The following is a 20,163-nucleotide window of genomic DNA, read 5'->3' as shown; positions in this document are numbered from 1 at the left end:
CCTGCTCCACCCAACCTTCAATCAGGGAACACAAACAACAGCGAAGTTTGCCAAAAGAATTCGAGTATCAGTGAGATGTTCTGGCCAGGGTACAGGAGGGATGAGTGAGGCAGAAACTATCAAAGAAAACTCATTTCCCCACACCCAAGAAGGAGCTGGATGACCCAGGTACAGATATAATTTTGAGATGGGAAAATTAAGGGATTTTAAAGAAACAGTTCCAGCCTCAACAAGAAGCTAGAGAATGTGGTGCTCAGTGAGGGGTTATCCTACTTGGAGGCCCAGCTGGTCTCCCAGGTTCAGCCAAACACGGAAATCTCAGATCCTCGGATGTCATGTGGGGTGGGGCAGGGAAGTCTCACATGTCTTCAGCCCTGCACAAGGCCAGGAGGGCTGACTGGCAATCCCCTTTCACTGCATCCTGCAGACAAGGGAATTCAGTGTTAGAAAGATCCACCACCACTATGGCCCAAGTGCTCTCTCCCCTCCTTTGGGCTGGTCCATCACAGTTCATCTGGGAGGGAAGGGTCCTCCCGGGAGCTCAGAGTCCTGCACTACATTAACCAAAGACTCCTGGGTTTTCTTTTTTAAGATGGAGTCTTGCCCTGTCACCCAGGTGGGAGTGCAGTGGCACGATCTTGGCTCACTGCAACCTCTGCCTTCTGGGTTCAAGCGACTCTCCTGCCTCAGCCTCCTGAGTAGCTGGGATTACAGGTGCACGCCACCATGCCTGGCTAATTTTTGTATTTTTAGTAGAGACGGGGTTTCACCATGTTGGTCAGGGTGGTCTTGAACTCCTGACCTCGTGATCCGCCCACCTCAGCCTCTCAAAGTGCTGGGATTACAGGCGTGAGCCACTGTGCCTGGCTAACTACTGGGTTTTCTATGGGGCAAGAATATGCTCAGCTGTGTGCAGGGAGTGAGGGTGGAGGTGAGGAGTGAAGGCCTGAGGCTCCAGGCTAAGAAGTAGCCAAGTTTCACCTGGAGAGAAGAGTAGAGGGACTTCCCAAATTTCTTCCTGAACTCAGCTCTGATACTCAGAAGGTCAGTCTCACATCGAGAGATAAGGATGCGAATCAGGACTTGGTAATTGGGCTCAGTTTCCTAGTAGGGGAAGAAAGAGATGGGGGGTAGTTAGTGAGAGTCTCACTGAGAGTAGGGGTTGAATGGCTTGGAGGGTTATTGTAGGAAGGGGAGGCAAGGTGGGAGTCAAGGGATAAGAGTGTACATTATACATTATCTCGGGACAAAAGTTATGTTTGTCCATCCTCAAGGAAGATGACACAGCAGGAAAGATCAGTCTCTGTGGGGGCAGCTTGAGTATTTATTTCTTTCCACATGTCTTTCCTGCCCCTACCATTAGCTTAGAGCTGTGTACCTCCAGAATTTGGTGGTGAGCAGCTCCAAAGATAGGTACACCAGGAAGGCTAGAAAAGATTTGGTGCATATAAAGACTGCCAGCATGAAAACCAGGAAAACTGCTTTTAACTTTCAAGTTAGTGAATATCCAAGGAGGATATACCTGCCCTATCCCTAAACTGAGCTGATGAGGCTCTGATAGGGTTCAAGGTTGTGTGACTTCTAGTTCTGATTCCAACCCAATAGGGCCATCTCACAGCCCCATCTCTGCATATTAGTTTCTCCGGTTGGACCCTTAGGCTGAAACATTGCTATCTTCCTCCTGTACATGCAGCAGGCCTGTTTTTTGGCTAAAGAAAGTAATGAAAGGTTCAGTTTAGAAATAACAGGCCAGGCACAGTGGCTCATGCCTGTAATCCCAGCACTTTGGGAGGATGAGGCGCGTGGATCATCTGAGGTAGGAGTTCGAGACCAGCCTGACCAAAATGGTGAAACCCCGTCTCTACTAAAAATACAAAAATAAGCCAGGCATGGTGGTGGGTGCCTGCAATCCCAGCTACTTGGAAGGCTGAGGCAGGAGAATTGCTTGAACCCAGGAGGCGGAGGTTGCAGTGAGCTGAGATCGCGCCACTGCACTCCAACCTGGGCAAGAAGAGCAAAACTCCGTCTCAAAAAAAAAAAAAAAAAAGAAAGAAAGAAAAAAGAAATAACAGGCCAGGTGTGGTGGCTCATGCCTGTAATCCCAGAATTTTGGGAGGCCAAGGCAAGCAGATCATTTATGGTCAGGAGTTCGAGACCAGCCTGGCCAACATGGTGAAACCCCCGTCTCTATTAAAACTACAAAAATTAGCCAGGTGTGGTGGTAGGCGCCTATAATCCCAGCTACTGAGGAGGGTGAGGTAGGAGAATTGCTTGAACCTGGGAGGCGGACGTTGCAGTAAGCTGAGATCACACCACTGCACTCCAGCCTGGGACAGAGCAAGACTCCGTCTCAAAAAAAAAGAAAAGAAAAGAAATAACACAGGTACAAGTCATCAAAATCCTGAATTATAATTGATTATACTAAGTAATGTGTTGTTATGAGAGATTTTTAAATAAAAACTTTTAATTGTAAAATTCCTGTGTTTTTTTTTTTCTGTGCACCAGTGTTGTCATCAATTCCTAATATCCTCATTTTCAGAGTTTCCTGAGTCACTTTACTCACAAGACTCTTCCCAGAACTGCCTACAACACATACTTAGGGCATCCCAATAGATCATAAACTCCTTTGACAAAACAAAAGAAAATGAAGTAAAACAGGATGCTCCAATTCATTTAGACTCATTACCTAATTGTCAGTGGACCTAATGTCTACTTCATTTTAACTTTTATGCATCATTAGTTTTGTATTGTCATAAAGATTGCCAATTGCTCCCCAGTATCCATTCTTCTCTTCTTCCAACGCTTGTTACTCTAAAGTTACAGAATTGGGCAAGAGTCACTCATTAACTGAATACTCTCATTGTTGTACAAGTATTCTTTTTTCTTGCTCTGTCACCCAGAGTGGAATGCAGTGGCGTGAATTCAGCTCACTGCAACCTCCGCCTCCCAGGTTCAAGCAAGTCTCCTGCCTCAGCCTCCCAAGCAGCTGGGACTATAGCATGTGCCAAACGCCCAGCTAATTTTTTTATTTTTAGTACAGGTGGGGTTTTACCATGTTGGCCAGGCTGGTCTCAAACTCCTGACCTCAAGTGATCTGCTCGCTTCAGCATATATATATATGGTTTGTTTGTTTAGATGGAGTCTCACTCTGTTACCCAGGCTGGGGTGCAGTGGTGCGATCTCAGGTCACTGTAACCTCTGCCTCCCAGGTTCAAGCAATTCTCCTATCTCAGCCTCCCAAGTAGCTGGAAATACAGGTGCACACCACCACACCTAGCTAATTTTGTATATTTAGTAGAGACGGGGTTTCACCATGTTGGTCAGTCTGGTCTCGAACTCCTGACCTCGGGTGATTCACCTGCCTTGGCCTCCCAAAGTGCTGGGATTACAGGCATGAGCCACCATGCCTGGCCTAATTATAATACTTAATCGTATACCTGGCATTGCATATGGCCCTAGGATCTTCACCAGGAACATTAATTTTTACTACAGATTGGTGGAAATTTGTCCTGAATCAGCCATTGCTGATTTTCTGAAGGTTGTTTTTCTGAATAAATATTCTTCACAATTTATGTTTTCATATATCTACATATCTCTCATAAAAGAATAATACAGGCTGGACACGGTGGCTCACGCCTGTAATCCCAGCACTTTGGAAGACTGAGGCTGGTGGATCACCTGAGGCCAGGAGTTTGAGACCAGCCTGGTCAACATGGTGAAACCCTGTCTCTACTAAAAATACAAAAATTAGCCGGGCGTGGTGGCGGGCGCCTGTAATCTCAGCTACTCAGGAGGCTGAGGCAGGAGAATTGCTGGAACCCAGGAGGCAGAGGTTGCAGTGAGCCAAGATCGCGCCATTGCACTCCAGCCTGGGTGACAGAGCAAGCCTCCATCTTAAAAAAGAAAAAAAAAAAAGTTTGCCACCAGCGTGGCCAACGTGGTGAAACCCTGTTTCTACTAAAAACAAAAAAATTAGCCGGATGTGGTGGCGGGCAACTATAGTTCCAGCTACTTGGGAGGGTGAGGCAGGAGAATTGCTTGAACCCAGGAGGTGGAGGTTGCAGTGAGCCAAGATCGTGCCACTGCACTCCAGCCTAGCGACAGAGTGAGACTCCATCTCAAAGGAAAAAAAAAGAAGAAGAAGAAGGCCGGGCACCTTGGCTCAGGCCTGTAATCCCAGCACTTTGGGAGGCTGAGGCGTGTGGATCACGAGATCAGGAGTTAAGGACCAGCCTGACCAACATGGTGAAACTCCGTCTCTACTAAAAACACAAAAATTAGCCAGGCATGGTGGTGAGCGCCTGTAATCCCAGCTACTCGGGAGGCTGAGGCAGAAGAATCGCTTGAACTCGGGAGGCGGAGGTTGCAATGAGCCGAGATCGCGCCACTGCACTCCAGCCTGGTCGACAGAGTGAGACTCGATCTAAAAAAATAAAAATAAAAATAAATAAAAAGAATAATACAGATGTATCATGATTTTTTCCTTATTTATTTATTTTATATTTGTTTATTTATTTATTATTATTATTTTTTTTTTAGAGATGGAGCATCACTCTGTTGCCCAGGCTGGAGTGCAGTGGCGCGATCTCGGCTCACTGCAAGCTCCGCCTCCTGGGTTCAAGCCATTCTCCTGCCTTAGCCTCCAGCGTAGCTGGGACTACAGGCGCCCGCTACCACGCCTGGCTAATTTCTGTATTTTCAGTAGAGACAGGGTTTTACCTTGTTAGCCAGGATGGTCTCGATCTCCTGACCTCGTGATCCGCCCGCCTTGGCCTCCCAAAGTGCTGAGATTACAGGCATGAGCCACCGCGCCTGGCCTGTTTATTTATTTTTTTTGAGGCAGGTCTCACTTTGTCACCCAGACTGGAGCGCAGTGGCGTCACCTCGGCTGACCGCAACCTCTGCTTCCCAGGCTCGAGATTCTCCTGCTTCAGCCTCCCAAGTAGCTGAGATTACAGGCGCTCACCACTACCCCCTGGCTAATTTTTGTATTTTTAGTAGAGATGGGGTTTCACCATGTTGGCCAGGCTGGTCTTGAACTCCTGGCCTCAAATAATCCACCCGCCTCAGCCTACCAAAGTCCTGGGATTACAGGCATGCGCCACAGCGCCCAGCCCGAGTTTTTCCTTTTTAGAAACAATTCAGAATTAGCCAGATATGGTGGCCTACGCCTGTAATCCCAGCTACTTAAGACACAGAGGCCAGAGAATCACTTGAACCCAGAAGGTGAAGGCTGCAGTGAGCTGAGATCACGCCACTGCACTCCAGCCTAGGCAACAGAGCCAGACTCTATCTCAAAAAAAAAATTTTTTTTTTCAGAAAAATGGGCCTATGTTATTTTCTGACTACCACTTCTTTTTTTCTTTTTTTGAGACAGGGTCTTGCTCTGTTACCCAGGCTGAAGTGCAGTGGAGTAATCACAGCTCACTGTAACTTCTAATTCATGGGCTCAAGCAATCCTCCCACCACATCCTCCTGAGTAGTTGGGACTAGAGGCAGGTGCCACCATGCCTGGCAAATTTTCTTCTTATTTTTGTAGAGACGAGTTCTTGCTATGTCGCCTAAGTTGGTCTTGAACTCCTGACCTCAAGCGATCCTCCCACCTTAGCTTCCCAAAGTGCTAGGATTACAGGTGTGAGCCACCATGCTTGGCCCCTGACTACTACTTCTAAGATAAATCTTTTATCTACACTCAAGAGTGTGGGTCTTGTAATCCAAATACACTACAAAATCATCTACTGCTGGGATAGTTTGTATTTATGACAGGAATTTGGACAGATAAGTACAACTCTTCAAATGAATCTTAGTGTTGACTCATTATAATCATACAGGCTTTATTGGGCAAGTATAATAATCTACTGTCAAGATAGAAATCTCTAGATGACAGAACAATTGCTTATATTTACTAACTTTTGGGCAATCATCAACATGGCATGATGGCTTCTCAACCAGTCTACAGAAAGCTATTCCATCTGCCAAAATGATAACTACTTTTTTAGTCTGACTGTGTCACCCAGGCTGGAGTGCAGTGGCGTGATCTTGGTTCACTACAACCTCCGCCTCCCAGGTTCAAGCAATTCTCCTGCCTCAGACTCCCAAGTAGCTGGAATTACAGGTGCCTGCCACCATGCCTGGCTAATTTTTGTATTTTTAGTAGAGACAGGGTTTCACCACGTTGGCCAGGCTGGTCTCGAACTCCTGACCTCAAGTGATCCATCCACCTTGGCCTCCCAAAGTGCTGGGATTATAGGCGTGAGCCACTGCGCCCTTCCTGAACTTTTTATTTATAGATTTTGGGGGACAGTTCTACTAATAGGAGACCTAATTCAATCAACAGAATAACTGGATTCTATTGGTGGAAGCACTCAAGCCACAGTCAGCAGTTTAAGTACGGATAATATGGGCTGGGCGCAGTGGCTCACGCCTGTAATCCTAGCACTTCGGGAGGCCGAGACAGGTTGATGACCTGAGGTCAGGAGTTTGAGACCAGCCTGACCAACATGGTGAAACCGCATCTGCTAAAAATACAAAAAATTAGGATAATGTGGTGGCGGGCGCCTGTAATCCCAGCTATTTGGGAGGCTGAGGCAGGAAAATCGCTTGAATCCAGGAGGCGGAGGTTGCCATGAGCCGAGATTGTGCCACTGCACTCCAGCCTCCAGCCTGGGCAACAAGAGTGAAACTCCATCTCAAAAAAAAAAAAAAAAGTATGGATAATGTGGAACAAAATCTGACCAGCGTGGAGAAAGGGGGCCTTGGGTGCTAAGAGCACTTATCGTATAGCTGACAAGGATGGTCAATATCTTACATCGTGAAGTGTTGTGTAGGGAGACTGTATAACTTACTAGCTACGTGACCTCAAGCAAGGTACTTAACTTCTCTGGGCTTCAGTTTTTTCATCTATAAGATACGGATGGATATGGTTGTGAGGATTAATTGAAATATGTGTGCCCTGCTCAGGATAGGCTGTGGCACACAATCAGCACCTGCAAAATGCCAGCCCTTGTCATTATTCTTGCTAGTGTTATCACCATCACTCTGGCAACAACTAAGCCTGCACAAGGCACTGTCTTACAGAGCAGATTCATATCTCTATTTGGCCACCTAGACATTAACAAGGCCAAAATGTTAGTTTCAGGGCCCCTGGGAGCCAACTAAGTTAGTTCTCACCACAGCTCATTCCTCCACCCCTGTGTAAGCCCTGGTGTGTAAGCCCTGGGAAGGAGAGCGGCTTGAGGTTTAGACGGTGTATATAGGATGGTTACATAAGCAGCAAGCTGAGACTTCCTCTCTCCTCCCCAGTTTCTGTTCTGGGGAGGGAAAGGAGTGCCCCTCTCACCTGGAGGGCTTGATGAAGTTTGTCAGCAAAGTACAGCGGTGTGTTCTTGATCACCGAAGCTGGAAACAAAGATGGAAGGATGGAGGTTCACAACTAGGACCACAATCTCCCATCCCAAGAGAGACTTACTTCACAAATCCTGAGCAGGCCCCTACCTAGGCCGAGCAGAGCCACCTGAGCATCTCCATGGAAACGGTTCTGGACAGCCTCCTCCAGCTCTTGCCCAGTGCTCCGCTGGTACTGATCAAACACTTGTGTGTGTAGGAGGCAGTTAGAAAGATGGATGGGGGATTAATTATCTCTGGAAAGGATGGGCCCTCCCCACCTTCCTCAGCCCAAACTGATCATTAGAGCAAGCTAGGGGGACAAGAAGGCTTGTGTGTACCTCGGATGAGGTGTTCAGGATTTCGCTGGGTGAAGACTGGGACCCATGTTTCCTCTCTGCTAGGTCCTTCTGCCCGCTGCAGTGCCTAGGAGGGAGGAATGAGTCAGGGAGGAGTCAATCAGGATCATTGGTTGGGGCCTAGGGAGCCATGGGTATGACGTTCCAGAATCTATCATCATCATGATGGAAATGGGATTGAGGGTGGAAAAGGATTTTTTTTTTTTTTTTTGAGAAGGACTCTCATTCTGTCACCCAGGCTGGAGTGCAATGGTGTGATCCCAGCTCACCACAACCTCTGCCTCCCAGGTTCAAGTGATTCTCCAGGCTCAGCCTCCTGAGTAGCTGGGATTACAGGCACTCACCATCATGCCTGGCTAATTTTTGTATTTTTAGTAGAGACGGGGTTTCACCATGTTGGCTAGGCTGGTTTCGAACTCCTGACCTCAAGTGATCCACCTGTCTCGGCCTCCCAAATTGTTGGGATTATAGGTGTGAGCCACCACGACCAGCCAGAAAGTTTATTTTAACCCGTAAACTAGGTTTGTGTGTGTGCGTGTGTGTGTGTGTGTGTGTGTGAGAGAGAGAGAGAGAGAGAGCGAGAGAGATGGGGTCTCTCTCTGTCACCCAGGCTGGAGTGCAGTGGCATGACCAGGGCTTACCTCAGCCTCAACTTCCCAGGCTCAAGCGATCCTCCCACCTCAGCCTCCTAGCTAGCTGGAACTACAGGTGCAGCTAATTTTTAAAAATATTTTGTGGAGATAGAGTCTCACTATGTTGCCTAGGCTGGTCTTGGACTCCTGGGCTCAAGTGATCCTCTTGTTTCAGCCTCCCAAAGTGCTGGGATTACAGGTATAAGCCACCATGCCTGGCCTACTAGTTGTTTTTATTTATGTTTTTTTATCTTATGTTTTTTATTTTTTAAGAAAGAAATAGGGCTAAGAGAGGGCTCTGCCCTTACAGCCTCACAGCTCTATTCACTGATTTGGAAAAATCCTGGTACCCGAGGATTAAATAATCCCCAAAAGGTCTGAGGAGGCTTTCTGCCCCCAAACGCTCATGAGAGGAGAATATGTCAGTTGATGAGCTCAGGAGTCAGAGGCTAGATGAGTGAAAAGGCTTCAGCTATGACGCTACCTGACACCTCCTGCCCCTACCACATAACTGAGAACTCCCTCTCCAAGGCAGGGATGGGTTTGCGGGAAAAATGGGCACGTAGGTCACCGGCTCTAAGATATGGTGGAGGAAGGCATCTTATGTGCATGGCGGCTGTGCACACTCCTAAACCCCCTGCTCACCTGGACATCTTGTTCTGCCAGATTATAGTCAATGATTCCAGAGTAGCTGTCACGGCCCCCCTAGGAGGAGAAACTGTTCTTAGAGGGCTCTTTGAAGGGCACCTTTTTATCTTCAGACCAACAAGCGAAGGCTGGTCTCCCCTAAAGCCCTCTCTTGTCCATTACAGGACAGCAATGCTCCCTGCTCCAGCGTGTCTCCTTGCCTGGTGAACGTGACTCCCTTCCTTGCAGGTCAGTCCTCCTCACCTTGGCCAGGGCCAACAGCAGGTCCTGCAAGATGCCACTGGTCTCAGATGTGATGTCATCCACAGCCTCCACCTGGAAATCTGGGGTGGGGTGAGGAGCTCTCTGAATCCTCCTGAGTTTTCCTAGTGTAGATATCCCCAGGACCTGCCAAATGCCTGACCCGCTATACCCTGCCAGCCCTGCTAGCCCCTGCTTGGAGTAGCTTGATGGCTGCTAATTCCCAGGATGTAAGGCACAAGTACCATCACGGCCACTCTAAAAACATCTCTAAGTTGTGAGGTGTGCAGTGGCTTCATCACCAAGCACCAACCTGCTGGGCAGGAGGCAACCATTATTAGAGTTGGGGCCAGGCAGTGAAGAAGAGCTAGGGAAACCCGTATTATAACACAAGATGGTTAGGACCTGGCACCCTCATTGGAGGTAAGGAAAAATGATATGAGAGGTGGGATATGAGGAAGGAAAAGAGCAGGAAAGGGAGAAAAAGAAAGAGAAAAGGGAAACAGATGCAAGAAGGAAGGAAGGTAGGAGAGGGATTAAGAACATAGGCCACGGCCAGGGCGGTGGCTCATGCTTGTAATCCCAGCACTTTCAGAGGCTGAGGCAGGAGATGGCTTGAGCCCAGAAGTTCGAGACCAGCCTGGACAACACAGCGAAACCCCATCTCTACAAAAAATACAAAATTTAGCTGGGCATGGTGGTGGCACACCTGTAGTCCCAGCTACTTAGGAGGCTGAGGTGGGAGGACTGATTGAGCCCAGAAGGGTCAAGGCTGCAGTGAGCCATGATGACATCACTGCACAGCCTAGGCTACAGGGCAAGACCTTGTCTCAAAAGAAGAACATAGGCCAAGATTAGACATCAAAGGAAAATTGGGGAAAGCAAGAAAAAGAGGTAGGGGTGGGGGGAAGGGGTGGTAAGATGAGGATGGGAAAAAGCCACAAATTAGTGGGTGAGACACTTGTAGCCAAGCAAGGCCAGCCATCAGGGACATGAAAGGTGACACCCATGACTCAGAGGGCAGATTCCCACCTTTTCCTCAGGCTGCAGCATGGCTGGGTTCAGCTTGGAATGTGGTGTGATGGCAGGGATGGCAAGGGGCTGGGAAGGTGACATGAGTACCTTTGGGACTGTCACTTTGGAATCTGCCTTGGAGCTCCAGATTAAGATGGTTAATCATTGCTTCTCTCTCTTTATTTGTGTGTGTGTGTGTGTGTGTGTGTGTGTGAGAGAGAGAGAGAGAGAGAGAGACATGCTCTCACTCCTGTCACCCAGGCTGGTGTGCAGTGGCAGTGGCACGATCTCAGCTCACTGCAGCCTCAACTTCCCAAGCTGGGGTGATCCTCCCACCTCAAACTCCTGAGTAGCTGGGACCACAGGCGCACACCACCATGACCAGCTGGTTTTTTTGAATTTTTAGCACAGATGAGGTTTTCCTTTATTGCCTGTGACTGGTCTTGAACTCCTGGGCTCAAGTGACCTGCCCACCTCAGCCTCCCAAAGTGTTGGGGTGACAGGCATGAGTCACCGTACCTGGCCTGCTTCTCTTTTTTTAATGATCACATCTGGGTCTCTCCCCTGAGAGACTGAGGCACTGGTGGGGGCAAGAGGAAAGACCCCAAGGGAATAGAACTTAGGCAGCCAGGTTGCCAGATAGCTCACCTATGGGGAGTACAGGAGAGGAGTGGCCTGTCCTACAGCCCCTTCTCCAGCATCTGGGACCCCTCCCTCTATATTCTTACTGTGTTTGTAGACTGCCAGGCACTCCTGCAGCTGGGGTGGGGTTCGAGTGGCAAGAATTTCAATGGCCACGTCCACAGCAGAATCTGAGGCCTACAAGAAATTGGGAGTCTACTCTCAGACTGGCCGTGTCATTAGGATGGCAGACAGAGGGGCAGACGCTGGCTGCTTCTCCTTCTAAGAAACAATATGGGACGACGAGAGGGGGACTCTCGTCTTGCAAAAGCAAGGCTGACAGCCTTCTCCCTTCCCCAGACACCCCAGCAAGTCTCCCCTCCTGCTACCTTCAGAGCTGTCCTCAATTCCTGGGCGTCAAACTGGGCTGTGGGCTGCAGCAGAGCCATCACAATCCTCTCCAGGTTGCCGGAAAGTGCTGCCTGTAGAGACTTCATCAGGTCCTACAATAAATGGTCCTCACAGCAGAGGGACGGGGGTGAGGGGAAGGGCCCCAGAAGTGTGGGGAGGTTTGGGAAGATTTGGCTGGTTTTCATCTCAGGCCCTGTTTAGCCAGGAAGCAGGGGCTGGCCTCAGCGGCTGTTGCTGTCTCTCGAGTCCTCCAGGGGGTTTCTCACCCCAGTCCACTGCTGTGGGAGGTCAGCATGGCCTCACCTGTTGGGTGCGCTCCTGGAAGTTTCGTGAGATGAGCTGCCTTTGCTCTCTGCTCCGGTTGGTCAGCACGTCCACAATGGCACTGCGGTCCACGCCTGAACCGAGATGAGGGCTGTGCTGTGAGCAGGGTCTTTACATAGTGGGATGTTCCTACTCCTTGGAGGAGGGAAGGCGCTCCAGGAGAGGGCTGGGAAGGAAAGGAGCAGGGGCTATATCACCCCCACTTCCATTTTATCTCAAAAGAAGTTGCAAATAAAATGTCAAAACAGCATGCAAATCTGACCCAGACCAAGGCAAAGGTGGCCTGGTGTGGTGGTTAAAAAAAAATACGACTTGGGGGGATCGGCTGACCTAGATGAGAATACCACCTCCGTCATGAGCTGAGTGACCTTGGGCAAGCCTCTTAATCTCCCTGAGCCCCAGTTTCCTCATCTGGAAAATGGAAATAATAAGCCTTGCCTCACAGGGGTGTTGTGAGAATGGGTTTGACACACCTACTGTGGCGCCTGACATACAAGAATGAAGGCATTCCACAAACATTTCTCCAACATCACTAGTTCCTCCTTCCTGGCTCCTCCTTGGTCTACAGATTGGCTCTAAAAGGCAGTCTCAAGTGCCGGGGGAAAGGGGCTCACCTTGGCCAGTAATGGCCCTCAGTAGCCTCTGCGCATCCTTGTCCACGCTGAAGTTCAAGAAGGTCCTGAGGGTGCCCAGGGTCCCCCACGCTGCAGTCTGTGGGAGCACAGGGTAGTTGGCAAGGGCCAGGGCCAGGCTGCCTACACCTCCTCAGCATAACCTCAGGGCCTGTCCTCCACTTTCCTGCCTCCCATCCTCTCACAGCCCGAGCTGAGATACTAAAAGTGATCTCTAAAATCCCAACAGCCCCTACCTTGCTGGCCAGGCCCAGGTGGCTGAGGATCTCCTGGGTGAGGGACGGTGCCATCTTCCCGCCAGTCACAGACATGGTGCTACTGGTTGCCCTGGGGAAGGAAACAGGAGCCCACAGAGCTGAATTTCCTGGCCCTTCAGGGACTCCTTATGACCCCCCCGAGACCCTGGACCCTGGGTTCCAGTCACCTGTTCCTTTCCTTGCTGCAGAAAAAAAGATCAACCTGCTTAGGCTTGGAGCCAGAAATGGAGCTGAAATGGTGAGGTAAGAGGGGAGCCCCCACCTTCCCCACCTCTCCCCACTCCTTTAGGAAGTGGGGATTGATGCGGAATGCTCCTGGACCAGGCGCCAACCCTCCCTGATGCCAGGGTCAGCACCAAAGCTCCTCAGGCCTTGGTCCGCGGTAGATGCCTCCCTTCTGAGGTCTATGGCCCTCCTTCCTGGGCCTGGCTGGGGTCTCCTGGGCAGTGCAGGGGAGCTGAGGTGAGGTGGCAGGATTAACCACGCAGAGTGGAAGACAACTCGAAATAGCATCTTCCCCCACCGGCAGCCCCAGCTGACAAGCAACCCTCAATTCCTGCCTGTACAGCTGCCTACCTGCTCAGCAGCACAGGAGCACAGGCCGGAATCTCTAGGTCAGCAGGTGCAATCTCTTAGCTGATGTGAGCAAGAGTTCTTGCAAGTACGTGGATGCCTGGACAGAAAGGAGGCACTCTCATGTTGGAAAAGGAAAACTCATTTTTCCCTCCCCCAAGCAATCAACAAGCCCTCCTGGCATGGGGCCGTGGGCCCAGTACTTACTCAGAGGTGCCAGAGGTGAGGTGGGTGTCGTTGTTGTGGCCTGGTAGCTTGCCTGTGTGAGCACTGCCTCCGGTGTGGCCTGGTAGAGGAAAGTGGGGGTGTGTGCAGCCTAGGCTGAACAGCCAGTCAGATGACCTCTCTTAGGGACGAACCCAGCAGTTGTCTGACTCTGGCCCCTCCCAGACGTGGGAGAGGACCGGGCTGTACAGAGTCCCACATGCAGACACCTTCCTGCCCAGCATCTCTTCTCCCAGGAACTGGGCCTCAATCCATGTGAGTGAACTCCACTCAGCCTCTCAGCGGCTCAGCCTCAAACACAGGAGGCTTTTATGCACTGCCTTCCCTGTGGGTCCAGGTGGGACCACAGAGACCTAGTCTCAAAGTCCAGCTTCTGACCTGGCTCTGCCCCAGCTTCTGACCTGGCTCTGCCTCTGGCTCCAGCTCCCTGGGGGGCAGGTCAGACAGGCTGCAGGCTGATTTCAAGGCTGATAGGGAAAAACCTGTTGGGGCACATACCAGCAGGGCACCCCAGCCTGCACCCCAGAGGGGGTCCCAGCCCAGAAACTCCCTTGACTGCTGCCTTACTAGAGCCAGCTGACCTAGGTGGAGAGTGCCCAGGGATTGTGTATATCTGTGGAGAAGGAAGGGCACAAGTATTTGGGAGTGGAAGTTGATGAACAGAGTCAAGAGAGAAAAATGCAAAGGGTGTTACCTTCAGAGGGAAGCTCTATGCTCCCAAAAGGCAACAGGGAGATGGGGGAGGCTCCCTTGCCTGGTTTCTTAGATTGCTTCTGTTGCCTTTTGGCAGCCTGGGCCCTGTGGCTGTTTTAGCTGCAGGTGATGCAACCCCAGCAGCTGGACTTGAGGCTGTCTCTGCACAGAGCAGCAGGTGAACAGCCCTGTGGAGCCCCCGCCCCGCCATGCAGCAACTGCTCCAGCCTCACAGCTGGCTCCCTCAGGTCTAAACACAGCCTCTTTCCTGCCTCCCTGGAGAGCCTGGGTAGGGGCGGGGCACAGAAGCTACAGCCCTGCCTCCACTCACTCCTCTGCCTCTCTCCCAACTCAGGAAGGCCTTCACTGGCATTCCTACATCCCTGGAGGAGGGACCTGCAGTGGCTCCACCACACTGAGTAGACCATGCCGGAGGACACGCCATGAAAGGATATTTCTGTGGCGGTAATCACTGCTCCTCACTTTTCTCTCCTGTTAAAAGGAAAACATGCACCTGTGTCAGAACTGGAGAATGAGGGTTCAATATCCAGCTCTGCCACCTATGTTCTGTAAGCTTCGCTAGTCCTTTCAGCTCTCTAAATGGGAGGATTGAGAGAGACGGAGGCTGTGGGACATGCTGGGGCCTCCGAGGACAGGTTTCCTGGGATGATTAAATGAAGTAATGTGTCCACTAAAGAACTTATCCATGTAACCAAACACCACCTTGTCCCCAAAAACTATTGAACTCATAAAAATAAATAAATAAATAAATAAATAAATAAGGTAATGTGGCCAGGCACGGTGGCTCATGCCTGTAATCCCAGCACTTTGTGAGGCCGAGGCGGGTGGATCATGAGGCAGGAGATCGAGACCAGCCTTGGCTTACACAGTGAAACCCCGTCTCTACTAAAAATACAAAAAATTAGCCGGGCATGGCGGCGCATGCCTGTAATCCCAGCTACTCGGGAGGCTGAGGCAGGAGAATCACTTGAACCTGGGAGGCAGAGGTTGCAGTGAGCTGAGATGGCGCCACTGCACTCCACAGCCTGGGCGACAGAGTGAGACTCCGTCTCAAAAAAAAAAAAAAAAAAAAAAAGTAATCTGTGTAATTGCATGTGGCAGAGAAAAGTGCCCTGTAAAGTAGGGGTATTAGATTAAATAAATAAATATACAGGACATGCAGCTTAATCAGAATTTCACGTAAATGAGGAATCATTTGTTGGTACAAGTATGACCCAAATATTTCATTAAATATACTAACATTTTTTTTTTTGAGGCGGAGTCTCTCTCTGTTGCCCAGGCTGGAGTGCAGTGGCATTATGTTGGCTCACTGCAAGCTCCACCTCCCGGGTTCAAGCGATTCTCCTGCCTCCGCCTCCCGAGTAGCTGGGATTATAGGCGCCTGCCATCATGCCTGGCTAATTTTTTGTATTCTTAGTAGAGATAGGGTTTCACCATGTTGGCCAGGCTGGTCTCGAACTCCTGACCTCGTGATCCACCTGCCTTGGACTCCCAAAGTGCTGGGATTACAGGCGTGAGCCACCGCCTGTAATTATTATTTTTTGTTTATCTGAAATTATAGTTTAACAGTGTGTCCTGTATTTCACCTGACAACCCCAAAATGGAACTCAGTCTCAGCGTGGTGGCTAAAAGCAAAGCTTCTGGAGCCAGACTTCTCAGAGTCGGGATTCTGGTCTTCTGTGTGACCTTGGGCAACTATTCTGTGCTCAGTTTCCTCATCATCAACAGACAAGTAATAGTGTTTATGTTATAGGTTGTTGTGAGAATTAAATAACTACAGTGCATATAAAGCACTTAGAAGAGTTCTGGGCACAGCGCTGTTAAGTAGAAATGTCACAATGTTATCAAATATATAACGATAAGTATTGTTATATGGTAACTGTTACTGTTGTTATTACTTACCTCCTTAAGAATTCCGATCTTGGCTCGCTTCTGAAACTTTTCTGGCCAATCCCCAAAATGGCCACAAGAGGGCGTCAGCAGCCACTGAGAGTCTCGAGCCCCCTAGTGGCCCCTTGAGGTCTCTGGCTCCAGCCCCACATATTAAGGGGCTGTCTCAGCCCACTTGGGAAGTGCAGCCTCCTGAGGACGCCAGGTTCCTGGGTGGAATTGGTATGCAGGTAGCATCAGGGGAAGAGCCTCAGGTAGATACCTACTCAGGGGAGCCCCCGAGGCTGACCTCAGACACATGCAGGAGACTGGGTGACCGCAGTTAGGCTGGGTAAACACGGTACTGCAGCTCCGCAGCCGGGGTCCCCCTGGCCCTCGGCTTTCTGTACCCTTCAGAGTTTCTTCTGGCTACCTGCCCAGCAGATTTAGGGAGAACCGAAGGAAGCGTGAGGCCTCCTGTTTCCTCACGCCGAATCTCTCCAAGGGGCTCCTGGCCGGCATGCCAGGCTGAACTCTGAATTTGGAGAAGTCCAACAGAGTCTCAGTCACATGGCAGAAGCGAAGTCCTTGCCTGTGAGGAGTGTGTGTGTGATGCGTTCACAATCGCTGCATTGAAACCTGCTACAAACTCATTCCTCTCCCTAGGTTTTGTTTTGTTCAACTTCAGGGCCGGATTGCAGTTGTTTACAGTTGTACTGATCACCTTCCTTCCCCATGTTGTACATTTTAGAATTGCAGAGTTGGAGGAAATCTTAGAGAGGATCTAATCTACCACCTTTTCTTTTCTTTTTTTTGAGACAGAGTCTCACTCTGTTGCCCAGGTTAGAGTGCAATGGCGCGATCTCGGCTCATTGCAACCTCCGACTCCCTGGTTCAAGCAATTCTCCTGCCTCAACCTCCTGAGTAGCTGGGATTACAGGCATGCACCACCATGCCCAGCTAATTTTTGTATTTTTAGTAGAGACAGTGTTTCACCATGTTGGCCAGGCTGGTCTTGAACTCCTGACCTTGTGATCCGCCCACCTCGGCCTCCCAAAGTGTTGGGATTACAGGCATGAGCCACTGCGCCCAGCCTCTAATCTACTACCTTTTCATTACTGACTCAAGGAGTCTGAGTGACTTCCCGAGGCCATGGAGTTGGAACTAGCATCCATGTTTCTCAGCTGCCTCTCAGTGTTTTCTTCATCCCTCAATGCAGGCGAGGCAGATTTGGGCTCCCTCTCAGTGGAATACAGGGGAAAGGCAGCCACATACACCGCCTCCACTGTTCATGCATGTCCACCTCTTCAGCCTCCAAGTCCCACATTGCTTTTATTTATTTATTTATTGAGACCGAGTCTTACTCTGTCACCCAGGCTGGAGTGCAGTGGTGTGATCTCAGCTCACTGTAACCTCTGCCTCCCAGGTTCAAGTGATTCTCCTTCCTCAGCCTCCCGAGTAGCTGGGATTACAGGGCCCACCACCACACCCAGCTAATTTTTGTATTTTTAGTAGAGACAGGGTTTCACCATGTTGGCCAGGCTGGTCCCAAACTCTTGACCTCAGGTTATCCGCCCACCTCGGCCTCCCAAAGTGCTGGAATTATAGGCATGAATCACTGCACCCAGCCTTTTATTTATTTTTGAGATGGAGTCTCACTCTGTTGCCAGGCTGGAGGGCAGTGGCATGATCTCGGCTCACTGCAACCTCACCCTCCTAGGTTCAAGCAATTCTCCTGCCTCAGCCTCCAAAGTAGCTGGAACTACAGGCATGTGCCACCATGCCTAGCTAACTTTTGTATTTTTAGTAGAGATGAGGTTTCACCATGTTGGGCAGGCTGGTCTTGAACTCCTGACCGCAGGTGATCCACCCACCTCGGCCTCCCAAAGTGTTGGGATTACAGGCATAAGCCACCACGCCTGGTCCCTACATTGCTTTTCTGCAAATACTTTCCATTGCCTGATTTCAGAATACATAGAAACTCCTCTTGGCTATTTTACCTCTCTGTTAGGAAATGTTTCCTCCCCGATACTCCTGGCCCCTGAATCTCCATTAGGTACTAGCTAGGCTCTGCTTCTTACCCAAATAGGCTTCAGTGTTAACAGTTCCACCTGACCTGAAAAAACCTACCTTCCACATTTGGGCTCCCTGTATGCTTGCCCATCCACAAAGCCTGCCCAGATATCTAAACTCGGGGCTGAAGGCCTGGAGATGGCCTGTCCTCTCCTTGGGACAGTTCAGCAGCCCATACAGAGGAAGTGAGTCACTGCAAGGCAGGCAGCACTTGGGGCACTGTGGGCGTGGCCATGCCAGCCTGCGTGTTGGGGGATGGGTTGGAAGGGTGGTGATCACAGTCTCCGGTCCAGCCAAGGCAAGCGGTGTGTATGCTCCCCAAGCGTGCTGACAAAGCTGGTCGCATCATCCCGGTGCTGGCTGAGGCCCAGTTTCCCCTTCTCCATCCACCTTCTCTTTTGTCTCCTGGGGGAGGAATATACCCTCTTATCTTTATTTCTCAGGCCCTGGTTATCCAACTTCTGCCCCAGAACTTCCCCTCCCCACTGCTATCTTAAAAAAAAGAAAAAAAAGTTAACCAGTCTTCAGTTCTCCTGAGGAAGCATTTGAAAAGTCTGGTAGGGACTACAGGAAAGCCTGGCACTTAGGAAAACCACAAGAAAGGGATTCAGAACTAAAAGAAGGAAGATGAATAGGACGGAGGTGTGGAGAGTGTTAGAGACCCGAAGGTGAGCTGCGGCCCAAAGAGCCCTGGAACTATGCTGGAAAAAAGGTGTGTAGGTGTGTAGCAGATAAGGACTCTGGGGAGAGCACTGAAGAAAGGAAGAGGGAACTTTGGAATTAGAAGGCTGAAGGAGGAGAGTTCCAAGGGGGTAGAAAGAGACAATTGGGATGCAAGGTGGCTCATGCTTGTAATCCCAGCACTTTGAAAGGCCAAGGCGGGTGGATGGTTTGAGCTCAGGAGTTCACGACCAGCGTGAGCGACATGGTGAAATCTCAAAAATACAAAAATTAGCCGGGCATGGTGGCGTCGCCTGTGGTCCCTGCTACTTGGGAGGCTGAGGTGGAGGATAGCTTGAGCCTGGAAGGTCGAGGCTGCAGTGACAGAGTGAGACCTCCTCTCCAAAGGAAAAAAAAAAAAAAGAAAGGAAAGAAAGATACAATGGAAGATATGCTAATAAGGGAGGGAGGAGAAAAACACAGCTGGAGGGGTTGCTGGAAACTGGGAGATCAGGCAGGCCTGGGGCTTAGAAAAGCCTAGAGAAACCCTGGGAGCTGGTTAGGGGCCACCACTCTCATCTTTCCCATGGTGTGTCAGGGCTGCGGGTCCCCCTGAAAAGAGAGGCAGAACAAACAGTTGGGTCGGACAGCCTCTACCTCCTTACCCTCCAGAAAGGGCCTGAGATGAGGGATGGGCCCTCCAACTGGATTAGTGGGGGTTGCACTCCTTCCTACGAGTACTTGACCAGATAAACGGGGAAACAAGCTACTGTCAGAGGCTCTGATTGCAACAGCATAAAAAAGGCAATACTTCATCTAGGTGAGAAATTTGACAAAAGTACCTCTCCATGGAGTAAGCTGCAGCTCTCCCTGTATAGGAGCCCTCAAATACATCTTAGTCACCACTCGTTCACGTTAGGAGTTAAGACCAGCTTTCTAGGAAAACCATGTTGCATCTTCCAACAGTAATTACTTCTGAAACAGTAATTTTACCACACGACTCAAGGGGAAAACTTTTTTTTTTTAAATTTATAAAGGAGTTGGGGGTCTCGCTATGTTGACCAGGCTGGTCTTGAACTCTGACCTCAAGTGATCTGCCCACCTCGGCCACCCAAAGTGCTGAGATTACAGGCATAAGCCACGGCGCCAGGCCAAGGGGAGAACACTTTTTTTTTTTTTTTCCTGAGACGGAGTCTCACTCTGTCGCCCAGGCTGGAGTGCAGTGGCGAGATCTCGGCTCACTGCAAACTCCACCTCCAGGGTTCAAGCGATTCTCGTGGCTCAGCCTCCCGAGTAGCTGGGATTACAAGCGCGAGCCACCGTGCCCGGCTAATTTTTGTATTTTTAGTAGAGACAGGGTTTAACCATGTTGGCCAGGGTGGTCTCGAACGCCTGACCTCAGGTGATCTGCCCGCCTCGGCCTCCCAAAGTGCTGGGATTACAGGCGTGAGCCACCGCGCCCGGCCGGAAAACACTTTTTAACACGAAATCGAATACGGATAAACGTGGTGTCATTTGAAAACTCATA

General features: G+C 50.1%; 1 protein-coding gene and 1 long non-coding RNA gene across 10 annotated transcripts, besides 5 other annotated features; one reads left to right on the top strand and one right to left on the bottom strand.

Moving 5' to 3' along the window:
- Window positions 1-46: 46 nt before the first annotated feature.
- ANXA9 (annexin A9) lies at window positions 47-18,375 on the bottom strand. Of its 9 annotated transcripts, none has more exons than XM_047431991.1 (16): window positions 15,936-18,058; window positions 14,344-14,504; window positions 13,302-13,380; window positions 13,098-13,194; window positions 12,501-12,591; window positions 12,247-12,343; window positions 11,612-11,706; window positions 11,287-11,400; window positions 11,005-11,095; window positions 9,266-9,345; window positions 9,020-9,079; window positions 7,725-7,809; window positions 7,495-7,590; window positions 7,340-7,398; window positions 982-1,104; window positions 47-421 (listed from the first exon to the last, which is right to left on the bottom strand). In XM_047431991.1, the coding sequence occupies exons 5-16, from the start codon at window positions 12,573-12,575 to the stop codon at window positions 359-361; spliced, it is 1,038 nt and encodes a 345-aa protein (XP_047287947.1). In that variant the 5' UTR covers window positions 12,576-12,591; window positions 13,098-13,194; window positions 13,302-13,380; window positions 14,344-14,504; window positions 15,936-18,058; the 3' UTR covers window positions 47-358. The 9 variants fall into 9 exon arrangements, with proteins under 9 accessions (XP_047287947.1, XP_047287953.1, XP_047287945.1 ...); XM_047431997.1 differs by having other exon boundaries at window positions 14,409-14,504; XM_047431989.1 differs by lacking the exon at window positions 14,344-14,504 and having other exon boundaries at window positions 15,936-18,375.
- Window positions 12,004-12,865: an enhancer, noted in NCBI's record as "H3K27ac-H3K4me1 hESC enhancer chr1:150955292-150956153 (GRCh37/hg19 assembly coordinates)". NCBI's record gives its function as "activates a minimal SCP1, AML or CMV promoter by ChIP-STARR-seq in naive H9 embryonic stem cells {active_cell/tissue: H9 hESC(naive)}" and the evidence as "EXISTENCE:reporter gene assay evidence [ECO:0000049][PMID:30033119]".
- On the top strand, window positions 14,176-15,723 carry LOC105371438 (uncharacterized). The gene is made up of 3 exons (XR_922135.3): window positions 14,176-14,260; window positions 14,368-14,477; window positions 15,595-15,723. It is a non-coding gene; the product is annotated as an uncharacterized LOC105371438 (long non-coding RNA).
- Window positions 17,691-18,192: an enhancer, noted in NCBI's record as "H3K4me1 hESC enhancer chr1:150949965-150950466 (GRCh37/hg19 assembly coordinates)". NCBI's record gives its function as "activates a minimal SCP1, AML or CMV promoter by ChIP-STARR-seq in primed H9 embryonic stem cells {active_cell/tissue: H9 hESC(primed)}" and the evidence as "EXISTENCE:reporter gene assay evidence [ECO:0000049][PMID:30033119]".
- Window positions 17,691-18,836: a biological region, named in NCBI's record as "H3K4me1 hESC enhancers GRCh37_chr1:150949461-150949964 and GRCh37_chr1:150949965-150950466". NCBI's record gives its function as "regulatory_interactions: CERS2".
- Window positions 17,923-18,836: a transcriptional cis regulatory region, noted in NCBI's record as "candidate enhancer chr1.8492 targeted for multiplex CRISPR interference". NCBI's record gives its function as "positively regulates CERS2 gene expression with high confidence in K562 cells {active_cell/tissue: K562}" and the evidence as "EXISTENCE:mutant phenotype evidence [ECO:0000015][PMID:30612741]".
- Window positions 18,193-18,696: an enhancer, noted in NCBI's record as "H3K4me1 hESC enhancer chr1:150949461-150949964 (GRCh37/hg19 assembly coordinates)". NCBI's record gives its function as "activates a minimal SCP1, AML or CMV promoter by ChIP-STARR-seq in primed H9 embryonic stem cells {active_cell/tissue: H9 hESC(primed)}" and the evidence as "EXISTENCE:reporter gene assay evidence [ECO:0000049][PMID:30033119]".

Source organism: Homo sapiens, chromosome 1 (assembly GCF_000001405.40).
Source record: "Homo sapiens chromosome 1, GRCh38.p14 Primary Assembly".
NCBI classification, from domain to species: Eukaryota; Metazoa; Chordata; class Mammalia; order Primates; family Hominidae; genus Homo; species Homo sapiens.
This window is presented reverse-complemented; position numbering and strand designations above follow the sequence as displayed.